Here is a 17,408-nt window from a genome sequence, read left to right as displayed (position 1 = left end):
TCTCGCTCTGTTGCCCAGGCTGGAGTGCAGTGGTGTGATCACAGCTCACTGCAACCTCGACAGTGTCTCGCTCTGTTGCCCAGGCTGGAGTGCAGTGGTGTGATCACAGCTCACTGCAACCTCGACTGTGTCTTGCTCTGTTGCCCAGGCTGGAGTGTAGTGGTGTGATCACAGCTCACTGCAACCTCCACTTTCCTGGGTTCCAGCGATTCTCCTGCCTCAGCCTCCCTAAGTGCTGGGATTACAGGCCTGAACACTGTGCTGGGCCCGTTTTAAACTTTTTTTTTTTTTTTTTTTTAAGAGACGGAGTCTCACTCTGTCACCCAGGCTGGAGTGCAGTGGTGCATTCTCGGCTCATTGCAACCTCTGCCTCCTAGGTTCAAGCAATTCTCCTGCCTCAGCCTCCCAAGTAGCTGGGACTACAGGTGCACGCCGCCATGCCCAGCTAATTTCTTTTCTATTTTAGTAGAGATGGGGTTTTATTGTGTTGCCCAGGCTGGTCTTGAACTCCTGAGCGCAGACAATCTGCCCGTTTCAGCCTCCCAAAGTTGTAGGATTACAGGGGTGAGCCACCACGCCCGGTCTTAAACTTAATTCTCAGCCACCTTATTATTCTCTATTGACAGTAAGAGGTGGGGGGAAAAAAACAGGCAGAGCACTTAGTGCCAGGCTGTTGGCAGGTATTTTCACATTAAACACTGGTCTCCTCAGCCAAAGCTCACAATCCAGTAAGACAGTCATTTTAGCTGAACATTCTCATCTAACCCTAGGGTTATGCACCGAATTGTGTCCCAGAAAATTCACAAATTGAAGCCCCAATCCCCAGTGTTACTATATTTGGGGATAGGGCCCTAAGGAGGTAATTAAGGTTAAAAGAGGTCCTAAGAGTAGGATCCTAATCCAGCAGGATTGGTATCCTTCTAAACAGGGGAAGAAACACCAAAGAGCTCTCTCTTTCTCACTGTGTGTGAACAGAGGAAAGGCCACATATATGACACAGCAAGAAGGTGGCCGATTACAAGCCAGGAAGAGAGTCCTCACCAGAAACTGAATTCCAGCACCTTGATATTGGACTTCTAGCCTCCATCCAGAATAGTGAGAAAATGAGTATCTGTTGTTTAAGCCACCTAGCATGTAGTATTTTGTTACAACAGCCTGAGAAGACTAATATACCTAGAGACCCAAATGTAAAGGCTTCTTGGAACCCAAGCTGATAGTCACTGAAGCATTCCTGGCTCTGAGCAGGTCTGTTAACCAGGGTCACTGCTACTTCTAGGTTTCTTGGGACCCAAGGCCCACTGGAGTTACAGTCCGATAATTTTTTTTTTTTTTTTTAGACAGAGTCTCGCAGTGACATGATCTCAGCTCACTGGAACCTCCACCTCCCAGGTTCAAACGATTCTTCTGCCTCGGCCTCCCAAGAAGTTAGGATTACAGTTGCCCGCCACCAGCTATTTTTTGTATTTTTAGTAGAGATGGGGTTTCATATGTTGACCAGGCTAGTCTCGACTCAAGGACTCAAGTTATCCATGTGCCTTGGCCTCCCAAAGTGCTGGGATCACAGGCATGAGCCACTGTGCCCAGACTATAGTCCCATTCTTTTCCCTGCCATCATCCTCTAAAACCAGGTTCCAGCTCCCTTCCTGTATTCCCTTGGCCCTTATTCCTATATTTTTCCTGGTACTCACCATGTCATTCCATTGGCTCAGGAACTCATCTGCAATGCAGGGAAATTCTTCAGGAGATTGTTTTGTTGCCATTTCCTCATGAATGGTTCCCTCTTTGAGAAGCTTCAGACATGACTTTAAATTTCACTTGCGGCAGGAGGGGCAGGGAATGGGAGTTCCCATGCCAAGGAAGGAGGTAGAGTTTCCCCTGCTTCATCCCCCATGCTGGGGGGAAAAACCTTTAAGGAGCAATCAAGAGCTCCTTTATGGAGCCCATCTGGCTCTGAGGAGGGGCTGGGTCATGGGCCTCAGCTGCTGCAGAGCCCCTCCCTCCTGAGTACCCAGCTGCTTCTGTCTTCCCCTAGTGAGGAAACAGTTCCTGTTCCCAGGGAGTCCACCCCAGCCTCAGGGCTTCATCACAGCAACTAATAAATTAGCCTAGGATTGGAGAGAGGGCTTTTCAAGGCAACAGAACCAGCACAGACTTCAGTGAAAATGACATAGGTTTTGGAGTCAGACTAACAAAGCTGTGATTTCTGGCTGTGAGCCTTTCTGGGGGATCTTAAACCAGGCACTTTCATCTCTGAACTGCAGTGTTCTTATATGCTAAATAGGAAAAGTGATCCTGGCTTTGCAGGGTTGTAATGAAGATTTCCATTGTTTATGGAAATAGACATGTACGGCATTCACTCTCTTCTTCCTGAGTCAGTCTTGCTGATACATCTGAACTGTAATTCCCTTTCTGAATTTTGGGGTGGCGTAGGATGGGGGAGTGGTGAAAGAGTGGCAGCCTTTTCAAAAGTCTGATTTGGACCAGGTGCCATAGCTCACGCCTCTAATCCCAGTGTGGGAGTCTGAGGCAGGAGGATTTCTTGAAGCAAGGAGTTCAAGACCAGCCTCGGCAACAAAGCGAGACACTGTTTCTCCACAAACATTTTTTTTTTAAATTAGCCAGGTGTGGTAGGCTGAGGCAGGAAGATCACTTAAGCCTAGGAGTTCAAGGCTGCAGTGAGCCATGATTGCGCCACTGCATTCCAGCCTTGGCGACAGAGCAAGACCTGTCTCAAATAAAATAAATAAAATAAAACAAAAATAAAAAGTCTGATTTATCCTTTGTTGTTGTTCAAGAAGTATGCCCTCAGAAAAAGCAGACTAACCACAATTGCTGCCCAAGCACATCTTTAGAAAGGCAAATCCACCCTCCAAATGATACATTAGTGAGCAATCATTCAAAGACTAAATGTTGATGTGGGTCTTTTTGGCAGTTGGGAGTGTGTATGCATGCATGCATGAATGAATGAAAAGTCTGGCTTGGAGGGATTTACTGGGCCTTTGGGGCATTCTCAGCTTTCCTCGGATTACCCACTCTCCCTTCCCTTTGGGCTGCTTTGGAGAGAGACTGCGAGGTACTGAGACCAGCAACTTGGGAAGTGCAGGACATGCCTTGCAAAGACAGATACTTTCTGGGAGTAATTTGTCTGCCTGTTCTGCAGACACTTGGTGATACCACTTTGGGTATGTTATGCCCTGTAGTAGAGACAGTCTGCTAGCTAGACCCACATCTGCCCCGCATCTTGTTTTGCTATTGTGAAACCAAACAAAGGGGTAGCCCGGGGGGGACAGGGGAGGGCGAAAGAACACAATAAGGTCACAGGGCCCTGCTCTAAGTGTGTCCCTGTGCACATGCCATAGGGGTTGGGGACCAGAGACAAGATCCCCCTGGTGCTGAGGAAACAGCAATGGATTTAGAGCCCCGAAGACTGGCATTTAAGTTCTACCTCCTTACTGGCTATGTACGTTTGGGCAAAATAGTTTACCTTCAGAAGCCCTGTTGCTTCACATGTAATATGCAAGTGCTAACAAAGCCATCTCAGGGCTGGTGTGAGGAATAAATTTAACATTTATTTATTATTCACTTTAACAGTGAATGCAAAAGGGCTTAGTTGAAGAGTAAAATACTAAAAACCTATTGTGGTTAAGACTTTGGCTGTGAGTCAGATGATTGGTGTGTTTGACTATATTATTGTCCACCAACATTCAGTGTTTTTCCCGAGTCAGGCTGGGTCATGTGACTTGGCCAAATGTGAGCAGAAGTGCCCCATCAGTTCCAAGGGGACATTTAAAAGCTTTTATTAGCAATTCCGCAGCTCTCTTTCCTCTGCCCTAGGGATGGGGGGAGCATGTGTGAAAATGGGGCCCTGGGGAGTTGGAGACCTGAGTGATTAGAATGAGCACAGCTCCCAGGCTACTGCTGGATGGGCCCCTTATACCAGCCGGTTTAGGCCACTGGGATTTGGGGGTTGATTGTTACTGCAGCAAAACCTAGCCTGGCATCACCATACAGATAGGTGCCGTTTCTTTATGCAGTTTAATAGAAAAACAACAAAACAAAACACTCACAAAGAAAACACACAGAAAATAATAGCAAACACAACGCAGCCTTGGGGAGATGGCAGGCGAGCCTGAGCTGGGTGCTATTTGCTGCTGCTCTTGGGAAGAGGTCGGTAGACCCCGACCACCACAGCGTGGTCCCGCTCATAGGGCTCCAGGGTCAGCTGCTCTTGAGGCTTCAAGTTCTCCTGCTGCAACTTCCTCACCTCAGAAGCAAACACAGCCTCGGCGGATGCGGTGGAGTCGATGCAGTTGGCCTTGATGGAGATGAGAAAGTGGCCCCCATTGCGCAGGAAGGTGTGGGCGTTCAGGGCCACGATGCGGGACTGGTCCGGCTGGGCCACGTCGGCGAAGATCACGTCCACCATCCCGATGAGCATGCGGTACTTGAGCGGGTGCCGCGCGTCCTCCAGGACCGGAATGATGTTGGTGCGCTTCTTGGCCACGTTGACCAGATCGCGGCCGGCGCGGTGGGAGAACTCGACGGCGTAGACCAGGCCGTCTGGGCCAATGATGTCGGAGACATGGGAGACGGTGGTGCCCGACGCGGCGCCCAGGTACAGCACCTTGGACTTGGGCTTGATGTGGATCTGGTCCACCCCGCCCAGGATGGCCGCGGCCAGCTTAGAGCGGAACGGGTTCCACGTGCGGTACTCCTGCTTCACGCCGCCCTCGGTCACCGTGACGCGCCTCTCGCCGTACACAGACTGGCCCGGCACCATGTTCAGCGTGACCAGCGCGTCCTCCGCCCCGCGGTAGATGAAGACGCCCTCGTGCCGGTGCGGCTCCACCGACACCACCATGGCGCCCTTCCTGCGGCGGCTCTTGCTCTTGGCCACGCCGCCCCGCCGCTGTCCACCGCCGCCGCGATCCTTGCCGTCGCCGCCGCCGCGCCCCCGGCCCCGGCCGCCCCCGCCGAAGCCGCGCGCCCGCGCCCCGAAGCCGCCCTTGCCCCCCTGGCCGCCGCCGTCGCCCCCGCCGCCCTTGCCCGCGCCGCCGCCGCCGCCTCGGCCCCCGCCCCAGCTGCCCCAGCCGCCGCCCCCGCGGCCGCCCCCACCGCCCCCGCGCGAGCTCGCGGCCGACTTCATGGCACGCACCGGGGCGGGTGCCGTGGGTTACCGGTGCCTCGGGGCGGGTGTCAGGGGGCTCTGGTGGCTCTGGGTGGTCGTCCCGGCGGTTGTCCGCGGGTTTAGCAGCGGAGGCGGGCGGCGGGCGGCGGGCGGCGGGGGCAGGACGGGCTCTACCGCAGTGCCCGCATCCCGGAGCCGCCCCTTGACGCAGCGGCTGTGGCGCGATTGCATCACACCCGTCCCCGCGACCCTGCGGCCCGGAAGCCCCGCTTCCCAGCCCGCGTGCAGACGCAGCCTGCTCCTCTTCGCTCACCCTGCCCCTTCCCCATCTCCCGCCTTCCCAGGGATCCCTGGCACTTCCCTGGGCCACAGGGACGGGGGCGTCTCTGCTGCAGGAGAGGGGGAGGTAAGCATCAGCGTCGGTCCTGGCTGTGCCACCAGTTCTGGGACTATTGATCAGCAAGGAAGTGTTGTTGATTCTTCAGTGTGAATGGGGATACACAGAGAGCCAAAATGTCATGTTCATCCTCGAAGTCTAGTCTATGCTTCAAAGTCACTCTCTAAATCTGCAGCATTTTCTTGAGGAAAGAAAGAAAAAGAGAAAAAGAAAGAAAGAGAGAGAAAGAAAAGAGAGAGAGGGAGAGGAGAAGAAAAGAAAAGAATAATTGGGCAGCACCAAGGGCAGCAACGAGAAGAAAAGAAAAAAAGAAAAGAACAGAAAGAAAATAAAAGAATAACTCGGCACCACCAATGGCCCCAAGGCCGCAACGCAGAGGCTTTAGGGTTTAGTCAGCACCAGGGACAGCGACAGCAGTTGGGGCCCCCGTTTTGGCTACTGCTAGGGGCTTTGGGAACCACACAAGAGCTGGGGAAAGTAGGATAGGTGGTGAAACAACTGGCCAGCCTCCCGTTAGTTGAATTAAGTGTCTACTCGAGAGAGAGAGAGAGAGAGACAACGCGCACCTGAAGATCGGAGCATTTACTGAACACCTGGTATGTGCAGTATGACTTCCGTTCCATCCTGGACCACAGCTCTTCCCGTCTCATACTCATGGACGACAGTGCCAGGTCTGATTTTCCCTGAGGACTGGAGTGTCTCCTTAATGGGGACCAGAGTTTTATACACTGGAATGTGAACAAGGGATCAGTGAGTGAAATGTATGATTCCTGAGGTTGAATGGTTCACATAAAATACTCTACTTAGAGGTTTCCATTCTTGCTATAAGGTGAATATTTTCCAAAATGATGAACTACACTTGGTGTCTGTGAGGGTTAATTTTATGTGTCAACTTTACTGGGCCATGGGATGCCCAGATATTTGGTCAAATAGTATTCTGAGTGTTTCTGTGAGGGTGTTTTTTGATGAGATTAACATTTAAATTGGTATATTGAGTAAAGCTGATTGCCGTCTACGATGTGGCTGGGCCTCATCTAATCAGTTGAAGGCAGAAATAAAGCAAAATGCTGACCTTCCCCACGGAAGAGAGAATTCTCCTGCCCAAGGGCCTTTCAACTGGCACATCAGCTCTTTCTGCCTGACAACCTTTGGACTGGGACATTGGCCCTGCGGATTTTGGACCTGCTGGTCTCCACAATCACATGAGCCAATATATATCCTATATATACACACATATATATATCCTACAGGCCTGTGTCTTTGGAGAACCTTGAATAATAGAGATCCTGAGACAAAGCCTTGAGTCCAATTGGTTTGTGAGGTGATCCCAGGAAGCACATGTTGGGGAGGCAAAAATGAGATAGAGAAGATAGAAAGGTTAAGAAAGAACTGGGCACAGTGCCTCACACCTGTAATCCCAGCACTTTGGGAGGCCAAGGTGGGAGGATTGATTGAGCCCACGAGTTCAAGACCAGTCCTAGCATGATAGCAAGACCCTGTCTCTACAAAAATAAACAAGACTTAGCCAGGTGTCATGGTGTGTACCTGTAGTCACTGTAGTACCTGTAGTCACTGTAGTACCTGTAGTACCTCAGCTACTGAGGAGGCTGAGCTGGAGGGGTCGCTTGAGCCTGGGAGATCAAGGCTGCAGTGAGCTGAACTCACACCACTACACTCCAGCTTAGGTGACAGAGGGAGACCCTGTCTCAAAAAAAAAAAAAAAAAAAAAAAGAGGGTAGATTAATGAGTAGATGACCACAGTGGACAATGGGAGCTCAATTGCTGTGAGTATTCTGAGAAACTGTGTGGAAGGCATCTCAGAATTGTTCTACTGCAGGTTGGAGGCTGGGGCATTAATCCACTGTCTTAATTTGTTTCTATACCTGAGACTGGGTAATTTATAAAGAAAAGGGCTTTATTTTTTCTTTTTTTATTCTAAGATAGGGTATCACTCTGTCACCCAAGCTGAGTGCAGTGGCACAATCATGGCTATTGCAGCCTTGATCTCCCAGGCTCAAGCAATCCTCCCACCTCAGCCTCCTGAGTAGTTGGGACTACAGGTGTGTGCCACCACACCAGGCTAAAATTTTATTCTTTATAGAGATGGAGCCTCACTATGTTGCCCAGGCTTGTCTCAAACTCCTGGACTCAAGCAGTTCTCCTGTTTCAGTCTCCTAAAGTGCTGGGATTACAGGTGTGAGCCACAGTGGCCAGCCAGGTTTCTTTCTATATAGGTATAAACCATCATGCCTGGCAATTTTTTTTTTTTTTTTTTTTACTTTTTGTAGAGATGAGACCTCATTATGTTGCCCAAGCTGGTCTCCAACTCCTGGCCTCAAGCCATCCTCCTGCCTCAGCCTCCTGAGTTGCTGGAATTCTAGGCACAAGCCTCCACACTTGGCACCATGTATACTTTTGTTTACAATTGACTTGTTATTCCAGAAGATGTGCCCTAAAGTAATGATCATAATTACATCTGTGACTAGGCCTCAGTAGTAGACATAGTGCACATCAATCATTCCCATAGACTTAAAAAATGCATGAGGAATTTTGCTTATTTTCTCACAGAACCATTCCAACAAATTGCCCAAGGAGTAACTAGCCATGATTGACATGAAACCAGAGGTAATACTCTATAACCCCATCTCCATTCTCATTATACTTTAAGCATCCATGCATGAAGAAACTTGTTTTCTCTAAGCCATGGTCCACCTCCAAAGGTGACTGACTGTAGGGATCTGATCTCCACCCCAGTGACAGGTGCAGCTATATTTGCTCAAGAGGAGTTGGGCTATGATGCAGTAACATAGAACTCCAAAATCTCAATGTATTAATACAGCTATGTTTAGATTTCTTATGTTTTATGTCCACTGAGAGTCAGCGGGAGGTTTGCACCACACAGCCACTGAAGAACTCAGGCCCCAACATCTTGTGGCTGCAACATGAGAAAAAAGAGGGCCTCCACTGTACTGCTGAAGAATAGAGTGCAGAGAACTCACAACCTTTTTGTATGTTTAGTCTGGACTTTGACACAATCATTTCTACTCACCACGGATTGCAGCCTTGATCTCCCAGGCTCAAGCAATTCTCCCACTTCAGCCTCCTGGCTGATGACTGGCCAAAGCCAGTCACATGCCCTGCCTAGCTGAAAGGCAGCTGAGATATGTGGGTGCCATAACTGGGGAACAGTAAATGTTTTTACCTAGGTGTCTACTGCATAATGCCAGCTGGCACACCTGGATCAGTGCACCAAACACAAACACCTCAGGTGAAATTTACTGTTTGGCGTGCATATATTTAAATTTACTCGTCAAGACAAAATATAATACCTCCTTCCTAACACGACTAAAACTCACAATCTTAGTCAACTCCCAATAATATATCTAATATAGCTGGTTAATTAATTAGAAAAAGAGAATCTTCTCCCTTTTTGTAGCCTCTGGGACTTGGAAAGTAGCTAAAATCCCTTATTTGGGATGTCATTATTGTTTGGCCATTACTTCTGCTGGGGGACACTTCGTCTCTTGGTGGCTCAGACTCTTACTCCATTCCCCACTGTAGAATTAGTGGCTGCCATTCAGGAAATGCTCAAAAAGCTTAGCTGGCCTACTTTTGCAAAGGTCTTCTTTCCACAAGACACCTTAGAAATTCTCTGTAATTCTTCATTTTATAGAATAAGAATCTGAAATTTGGGCTGGGCGTAGTGGCTCATGCCTGTAATCCTAGCACTTTGGGAGGCTGAGGTGGGTGGATCACTTGAGCTCAGGAGTTCGAGACCAACCTGGAAAACATAGTGAGACCCCATCTCAATACATAAAAAAAAAATTCTGGCCGGGCGTGGTGGCTCACACCTGTAATCCCAGCACTTTGGGAAGCCGAGGCGGGCGGATCACAAGGTCAGGAGATCGAGACCATCCTGGCTAACACGGTGAAACCCCGTCTCTACTAAAAATACCAAAAAATTAGCTGGGCGTGGCGGCGTGCAGCTGTAGTCCCAGCTGCTGGGGAGGGTGAGGCAGGAGAATGGTGTGAACCTGGGAGGTGGAGCTTGCAGTGAGCCAAGATCGTGCCACTGCACTCCAGCCTGGGTGACAGAGTGAGACTCCATCTCAAAAAAAAAAAAAAAAAAAAAAAAAAAAAAAAAAAAAATATATATATATATATATATATATATATATATATACAAGCTATCAAACTCCTACAATCTAAAATCCCCACAAAAATTACAGTGAGTTTAACTGTGCTCCCCTTCAATCCATTACATTTTATAAGCACCATGTATATTTATGTAATTAAACTGGTATGAAAATGCAAAGCAAACCAAGCAACAAAACAAAGCAAAAAATTGTTTTACTTTAGATGACCCCATGTACTCTCATTAACCAGTGAAATTTCTATAATGCGACCAAGTATTTTTTTGATTTGTACAAATGTATGGGGTACATGAGAAGTTTTGTGACATGTATAAGGCACAGTGATCAAGTCGGTATTTAAAGTATCCATCATGGGAGTACAGTACATTTTTATTAAGTATCATCACCCTGCTCAGCTATCAAGCATTGAATTTGTTCCTCCTATCTTACTGTATGTTTGTACCTTTTTCTTTCTCTTTTTTTTTTGAGATGGAGTCCCCCTCTGTCACCCAGGCTGGAGTGCAGTGGTGTGATTTCAGCTCACTGCAACCTCCTCCTCCCAAGTTCAAGTGATTCTTGTGCCTCAGGCTCCACGAGTAGCTGGGATTAAAGGCACATGCCACCATGCCTGGCTGTGTGTGTGTGTGTGTGTGTGTGTGTGTGTGTGTGTGTGTGTGTGTGTGTGTGTGTGTGTGTGTGTGTGTTCAGGAGAGACGGGGTTTTGCCATGTTGTCCAGGCTGGTCTCGAACTCCTGACCTCAGGTGATTTGCCCATCTCAGCCTCCCAAAGTGCTGGGATTACAGGTGTGAGCCACCTCACCAGGCCTGTATGTTTGTACCTTTTAACCCACTTCTCTTCATCTTCCCTCCTGCCCCCATTCACCCTTCCCAGTCTCTGTTATCTGTTTTTCCACTCTCTACCTCCATGTGATCAAATTTTTTAGCTTCCAGCCAGGTGCGGTGGCTCACGCCTGTAATCTCAGCAGTTTGGGAGGCTGAAGCAGGTGATCACTTGAGCCCAGGAGTTCAAGACCAGCCTGGGCAACATGGCAAAACCCCATCTCTGCCAAAAATACAAAAATTAACCAGGCATGGTGGCATATGCCTGTAGCCCCAGCTACTCAGGAGGCTGAGCTGGGAGGATCGCTTGAGCCCGAGAGGTGGAGGTTGCAGTGAGCTGTGATGATCATGCCACTGCACTCCAGCCTGGGCAACAGAGCTAGACCCTGTCTCAAAAAAAAAATTGTTTTTTAGCTCCCACATATAAGTGAGAACATGTGATATTTGCCTGTTTGTGCCTGGCTCATTGCACTTAAGATAATTACCTCCATCAACTGAATATTATTTAGCCGATTTTCTAGAAAGGTTAATACTGGCCATTTTGGGCTGACATTGGCCAAGAAGCAAAGTCAAAAATGATGAGAAAATTAGCATAAAATTGTAGATGCATATTAACTTCTCTGTACCATTTATGCCCTAGTTTAAATCTGCTTTTAAAATTTATTTGAATAAGTGTGGGCTGGGTGCAGTGTGGTGGTTCACGCCTGTAATCTCAGCACTTTGGGAGGCTGAGGTGGGCAGATCACTTGAGGTCAGGAGTTCAAGACCAGCCTGGCCAACGTGGTGAAACCCTGTCTCTACAATACAAAAATTAGTTGGGCATACTCACTTTTGTCACCCAGGCTAGGGTGCACCGGCATGATCACGGCTCACTGTGACCTCTGCCTCCCAGGCTCAAGCAATCCTCCCACCTTAGCCTCCAGAGTAGCTGGGACTAAAGGCATCTTGAATAGGTAGATGTGGCAAGAGTGGACAACTTTGTTTCTGATCTATTGAGATGTTCATGTGGGGTATTTATTTCCCTCTTCAGTTTATTAATACGCAGTTGCTTTTTAAGAAAAAAGTTAAAAACAAAAAATGCATTACTATTGATTTTTATACTTCTACATACTTGATTTTATAATCTTTTACACTTTTAAAATATATTTTGTACTATGTACTTACCTTTACTGGTGTTGTGTGATTTTGTTAGTCTAGGGTCCTTACATTTCAACATTTAGCATTTCTTGTAACGATGGTCTTCTAGTGACAAACTTTTTGTTTATTGAGAAACATCTTAATACCATTTTCCTTTCTGAAGAATAGCTTTGCTGAATATAGAGGTCTTGATTGACAGTTTCCCCCCCTTTTGGCACTTTAAATGTCATTCCACTGGCCCTGTGAAGTGCCAGTGGAAGGTAGGACTGGCACTAGAATTCTCAGTGGGGGGGGTGGGATTGGGGAGAGTAACTGAATTCCAGCAAACCAGATTATCTTTGGATGACGGAAGTCTTCAGGCAGCCCTGTGTTTGGAAAAGCACTGAGTAGAGACCTAGGTAATGGATCTTAGCTCAGCAAACAGGTCCCTGCAAATTAAAGAATGGAATGAGGAGAATTTATATTTACGTGGAGACACTGGTCCATACCAAGTCAAACGTTTTCTGACCAACTTAATTTTCCTCATTCCTCACACTATGGTGTTTAATCAATTTTGGGATGTACATTTGAACATTTCTGAAATTGCGATGCATCTCACAGTCATTATTAGTCAGATGACGGTTGTGACATAGTCATCGCCGCCTTCACATGAATATCAGGACTCAGATAATAATCCTGGGAACTATAGTGGAACATCAAAGCGCTGCATCATCAATGTTTTTGGTAGCATAGAGGATGATATTGTCTAGAAAAGACAGATGTTAATGACTGCATCAAAAAGTGTCTCAAAAGAGTGGGACTCTGAAGTTTTAGGAGTATTTTAACCAATTTAGTTCAGTTGTATTTTCCTGTGCTAAGTTTGTACATAAGTGATACATGACACAAACAAAAGTCTAAAAGACTCTTTTCAGTATGAAAATTCTAACTTACGAAAGTTCTATCAGTTTAAAAGTTTGTCAAAATTTTTTAGTAGTGCAAAACAATAGTATCTTGCAATCTATAGTGTTTAGAGCTATTGATATATAGTATTGTAATTTCCTAGAATGCAGTAAATAAGCTTGAGGTCACAGAAAGATCATCCCATTTGTTAGGATAAATGAGTGAACATCTGAAAATTGTGTTTTTCTCCTTTTCTTTCTTTTTTTTTTTTTTTTTTTTTGAGATGGAGTCTTGCTCTGTCTCCCAGGCTGGAGTGCAGTGGTGCTGTCTCGGCTCACTGCAACCTCCATCTCCTGGGTTCAAGCAAGCGATCCTCCTGCCTCAGCCACCCGAGTGGCTGGGACTACAGGTGTGTGCCACCACGCCCAGCTGATTTTTGTATTTTTAGTAGAGATGGGGTTTCATCACGTTGGCCAGGATGGTCTTCATCTTTTGACCTCGTGATCCGCCTGCCTCAGCCTCCCAAAGTGCTGGGATTACAGGCGTGAGCCACCACGCCTGGCAAAAATTGTGTTTTGTCTATTAACCAATAAAAAATTATTTTGACTTTTTTTAGAGGTCAAATGAAGGCAAATTTGAGGGTCACAAAGGCCCACCGACTTACATGAGATTAAGGATTATCTGAAGTCAAACTGGCTTTGCTTTTCCAAAGGCTAGCACATTAAAAACAGGCTAATCAGCACAACCGTAGTCATAGCTACTACAGACTCAGGCAGGAGGATCACTTGAGCCCATGAGTTCAAGGTTACAGTGAATGGCCAGGCACAGTGGCTCACACCTGTAATCCCAGCACTTTGGGAGGCTGAGCCAGGCAGATCACCCGGAGGTCAGGAGTTCGAGACCAGCCTGGCCAAAATGGTGAAACCCTGTCTCTACTACAAATACAAAAAATTAGCAGGGTATGGTGGTGCATGCCTGCAGTCCCAGCTACCTGAGAGGCTGAGGCATGAGAATTGTTTGAACCCGGGAGATGGAGGTTGCAGTGAGCCGAGATCGCACCACTGCACTCCAGCCTGGGTGACAGAGTGAGACTCTGTCTCAAAAAAAAAAAAAAAAAAAAAAAGTCACAGTGAACTACAATGGCACCATTGCACTCCAGCCTGGAAAACAGAAGAGGACCTCGTCTCTATAAACAAAAACAGGAGAATCAGAACTATACTATTCCTAAGGAAAGGTTTCTGATATTATCTGTATTATTAAATGGTATTTATATATCTATAAACTATGGTAAGACAGTGTTTTAAAGATATAGTTATGGCCTGGGGTATCCGAGATGATGTTCCAGTATACGAACTTATCATGACCTTTGGTTAATTTAACATACTCCTGTAGTCTTTCATTATTTTCTCCTCCACCTCACTGAATCCTGTTTTTTCTTTTTTCTTTTTTTTGAGACGGAGTCTTGCTTTGTCTCCCAGGCTGGAGTGCAATGGTGCGATCTCAGCTCATCGCAACCTCTGACTCCTGGGTTCAAGCAATTCTCTTGCCTCAGTCTCCTCAGTGGCTGGGATTACAGGCGCCCGCCACTACGTCTGGCTATTTTTTGTATTTTTAGTAGAGACAGGGTTTCCCCATGTTGGTCAGGCTGGTCTCGAACTCCCAACCTCAGGTGATCTGCCCACCCCGGCCTCCCAAAGTGCTGGCATTACAGGCGTGAGCCACCATGCCCGGCTGAATCTTGTTTTTAATTCCTAAAGTCTCCTGAGTCTTCGGACCCAAGGGCTCAGTAGTCTAGGTGAACTGTCTTTGCAGTTAGTAGAGTGAGAGGAAACTGCTTAGCCTCCCCATGTTTGTTGGAGGGAGCAGCGATCTAATGTGGACATGTTAGACTTATACATACCAGTTTGTGAATGGAAGCTATTATTATAGCTCATTAAGATCCTCTCTAAGGTTCCTCTAAGCTTGGAGACTTTTAGAAACAGCATGGTATGATACAATTCATGCTCATTAAACATTCATTTTTCTATTGTGTTGGCTTTACATGGAATCTCATTTCAGTTTTGTGTTGGCAGATTCCATTAACTGCTGACTCAATAATCAGTGTGCGGAGCTGTACCCCAAAACCTCTCGCTGCCACTGCCAATCTCCATATTCTGTGCTGCTACAAAGATTCCAATTTCATGAAATGAGACAATATGCCCTGCCCAGGGGATGAATTGTGACTGGTCTAGGGAAATCACAGCAATCCTCTTCTTAGCTTGGACATTCACTCTAGGTTTCTACCTTCCTTTGCAACTGGGATTGGCATCTGGCCAATGAGATGTTAAGAGTTAATCTTGAGCTTCAGGAAAATTGCCAGTCTACATTTCCTTGCCCCCTTCCCCCGAACCCAAGTCTGTTATATTGCCAATGTCACCTTCTCTTAAAATGGAAATAGCCTGAATTTGGGATTTTAAACATGCACGGGTGTGAATCTTAATTTTGTTCCTGAGGATTCCAGGGCAAATTACTTATCTCTGTGCAGTCTCAAGTTTTGTTACTTGTAAAACAGGCTAAGTATCTCTCACAGAACAATGAAATGAGACATGAATGGGACAATGAAGAGGCGTAAATTCTTGGGGCCCTTTCAGGGTCAACAAATGGGATTCCTTATCTAATTAAAATTAATAAACCACATTCCTGCAAAGTCAATACACTCTCACTGTGGTGCATAAATCCTGTTATTTCATGGCCTCCACTAAGTCATTTTGGTTTAATGCTCAGCAAGATATAAGCATATTTGTGGAAGTGATTTTTTTCTTTTTAGAATTCTAGCTGTTAAAGAACCACATTTTGCCTGGTTGACAAATTTTCTTTACTTATGCTTGTGTCCACATGATTGTAAAAAAGCAAACAGTGCCAATGGCCACTTTGGTAAAAACACACAGTGTTCAAACCTATGAAGGATTACATCCTTTGGACAGGTTTTATTCCCAGGATATCAAACCCCTTGGCCATGACAGCAGCTACTGCTTCACATAGCAGCATACGCCACATGTTCACCTTCAATATTTTTCCTGAAAAGATAGAAAAAAGTTGTTAATTAACTTGTTTTCCTTTTTGAAAATCATTATTAAAGAATCTATGTTACTTGCAAATTTTAGTTAGAAGTGCATAGTCCAACCCACAGATGTTTTTGGGTTTTAACTAGAATCTTCTTTACCTTAAACTATGAAGACAAACAATTTAAAAAATAAAGGCATTTCTGTTAAGAAATGTGTTTTTAACTATTAAGAGATATAAGGTCTGCAATGATGAGAACAGTAAATTTTACCTTTCTTTTAAAAAATTTTCCTAGTCCTCACGGTCTGAAATAACTATAAACCTCATTATCACAGTGGTGATTTTTTTCCCTAATAAAGTTTCAGTCCTCAGGCATGACTTTAACAAATGCCTACTTGCCTTATAATACATTAATTCTGGCTACTTCATTAACTATGTAATATGACAGAGGGAAGACAGCCTAAGGTAAGAAAAGATAACAAGTGTTTTCCAAGAAGTTTCCATTATCAAAAACACCCAAAGATTCCTCCTGGGACCCACAAACACATTGTGTTTGTTGGAAAAATCCTACTCTCAGTCATCTTCCAATTGTTTTCTTTGGAGTCCTAAGGTTCCATCTCATGTGCCTAATTGTAGAAAAGTAGACTGATTGGGCAGAGTTCCATTTCTGGTTTAAAGTGCTACTTCACATTTTGTCTTTTATATATGATATGGTTCACTGTGCAACTGTTAGGGAAAAAGTGGAAGTTTCCATGAATAAAATAAATCTGAAAACCACTCCCACACAATTCAAATGCTTTAATGGCACCCCATCCCTAATATGGCTACTAAATGAGACACTTGGAGCTGGGTGCAGTGGCTCACACGTGTGTAAGTCCAGCCATTCGGGAGGCTCAAGTGGGAGAATCACTTGAGGCCAGAAGTTTGAGGCTTCAGTGACCTATGATTTCACCACCGTACTCCAGCCCAAGGGACAGAGCAAGATCCGTGTCTCTCACTAAAAAAAAAAAAAAAAAAAAAAAAGACACTCACCAGTCTGTCTATCTTTCTCCACACAGTAGCAGCTATCATAGAACTCTGTGAAAGCAGTTGCCAGCTCATATATATAATCACAGAGAGTGTGGAGAAATAAGTCATCTAAAATCTTTTGCAGAATCTCAGGGAACCGTAAAATGCACCGGCCTAGTTTCCATTCCTTCTCATGATCCAAAAGAATCTTGGTTTCTCGAGCAGCTTTTTGGAGCATTTCTTCATCAATATTGGCCAGACGTGCAATAGACCTTAAAAAAAACAAAAAAATCATCAGGCAATCACCACTGTTCCCTTTTTTTAGGCACACTCATTCTCCACTCGAAATTATCACCGATTAAAAAGAAGTTCCTATAAAATGAAGTATTTTATTATACGATATACTATTAGGCAAAACTAATAGCCAGATCTAAAGCATTTCATAATACTAAAAATGGAAATATAATTCTTTTAGGGGATCAGGTGACACTTTCTAGGTATTTAAACATAGAGCATCTAGAAGAGTATCGGCAAGTGCAGTTAAGGCCAGGTTTAGGGATTCTGGGATAACTTGCAATACTAAAAGAGGACGTATTTCCAAAGATGCTTGTAGGCAGAAAAATAAGTCTGAAAAGAACACTTTAGGCTGAGCGTGATGGCTCATGCCTGTAATCCGAGCACTTTGGGAGGCCGAGGCGGGTGAATCACTTGAGGTCCAGAGTTCCAGACCTGCCTGGCCAACATGGTGAAACCCCGTCTCCACTAAAAATACAAAATTTAGCTGGGCATGGTGGTGAGTGCCTGTAATCCCTCCTACTGGGGAGGCTGAGGCAGGAGAATCACC

At 45.8% G+C, this 17,408-nt stretch overlaps 2 protein-coding genes across 2 annotated transcripts in view, besides 4 other annotated features; both read right to left on the bottom strand.

The window, feature by feature from the left end:
- Nucleotides 3,473-3,642: an enhancer, noted in NCBI's record as "experimental_83672 CRE fragment used in MPRA reporter constructs". NCBI's record gives its function as "activates a minimal promoter by MPRAs in K562 erythroleukemia cells, with activity observed for the introgressed 5:167958099 variant allele {active_cell/tissue: K562}" and the evidence as "EXISTENCE:reporter gene assay evidence [ECO:0000049][PMID:34662402]".
- FBLL1 (fibrillarin like 1) lies at nt 4,017-5,346 on the bottom strand. Its single transcript, NM_001355274.2, has one exon. It carries the CDS (start codon nt 5,144-5,146, stop codon nt 4,142-4,144), a length of 1,005 nt encoding a protein of 334 aa, NP_001342203.1. The 5' UTR covers nt 5,147-5,346; the 3' UTR covers nt 4,017-4,141.
- Nucleotides 4,498-5,039: an enhancer, noted in NCBI's record as "H3K27ac-H3K4me1 hESC enhancer chr5:167956617-167957158 (GRCh37/hg19 assembly coordinates)". NCBI's record gives its function as "activates a minimal SCP1, AML or CMV promoter by ChIP-STARR-seq in naive H9 embryonic stem cells {active_cell/tissue: H9 hESC(naive)}" and the evidence as "EXISTENCE:reporter gene assay evidence [ECO:0000049][PMID:30033119]".
- Nucleotides 5,893-6,187: a silencer, noted in NCBI's record as "tiled region #5384; HepG2 Repressive non-DNase unmatched - State 10:DNaseD, and K562 Repressive DNase matched - State 10:DNaseD". NCBI's record gives its function as "represses a minimal TATA promoter and a strong SV40 promoter by Sharpr-MPRA in HepG2 and K562 cells {active_cell/tissue: HepG2 | K562}" and the evidence as "EXISTENCE:reporter gene assay evidence [ECO:0000049][PMID:27701403]".
- Nucleotides 13,781-13,950: an enhancer, noted in NCBI's record as "experimental_83662 CRE fragment used in MPRA reporter constructs". NCBI's record gives its function as "activates a minimal promoter by MPRAs in K562 erythroleukemia cells, with activity observed for both the introgressed and non-introgressed 5:167947791 variant alleles {active_cell/tissue: K562}" and the evidence as "EXISTENCE:reporter gene assay evidence [ECO:0000049][PMID:34662402]".
- The window catches only part of RARS1 (arginyl-tRNA synthetase 1), a 32,831-nt gene continuing 30,772 nt past the window's right edge, over nt 15,350-17,408 (bottom strand). The window contains exons 14-15 of the mRNA NM_002887.4: nt 16,589-16,836; nt 15,350-15,570 (exon numbers count right to left, since the gene is read on the bottom strand). Coding sequence (NP_002878.2) covers nt 15,461-15,570; nt 16,589-16,836 — 358 coding nt within the window. The 3' untranslated portion in view covers nt 15,350-15,460. The remainder of the gene's footprint in view (nt 15,571-16,588; nt 16,837-17,408) is intronic.

This window comes from Homo sapiens, chromosome 5 (genome assembly GCF_000001405.40).
Source record: "Homo sapiens chromosome 5, GRCh38.p14 Primary Assembly".
Lineage (NCBI taxonomy): Eukaryota > Metazoa > Chordata > Mammalia > Primates > Hominidae > Homo > Homo sapiens.
This window is presented reverse-complemented; position numbering and strand designations above follow the sequence as displayed.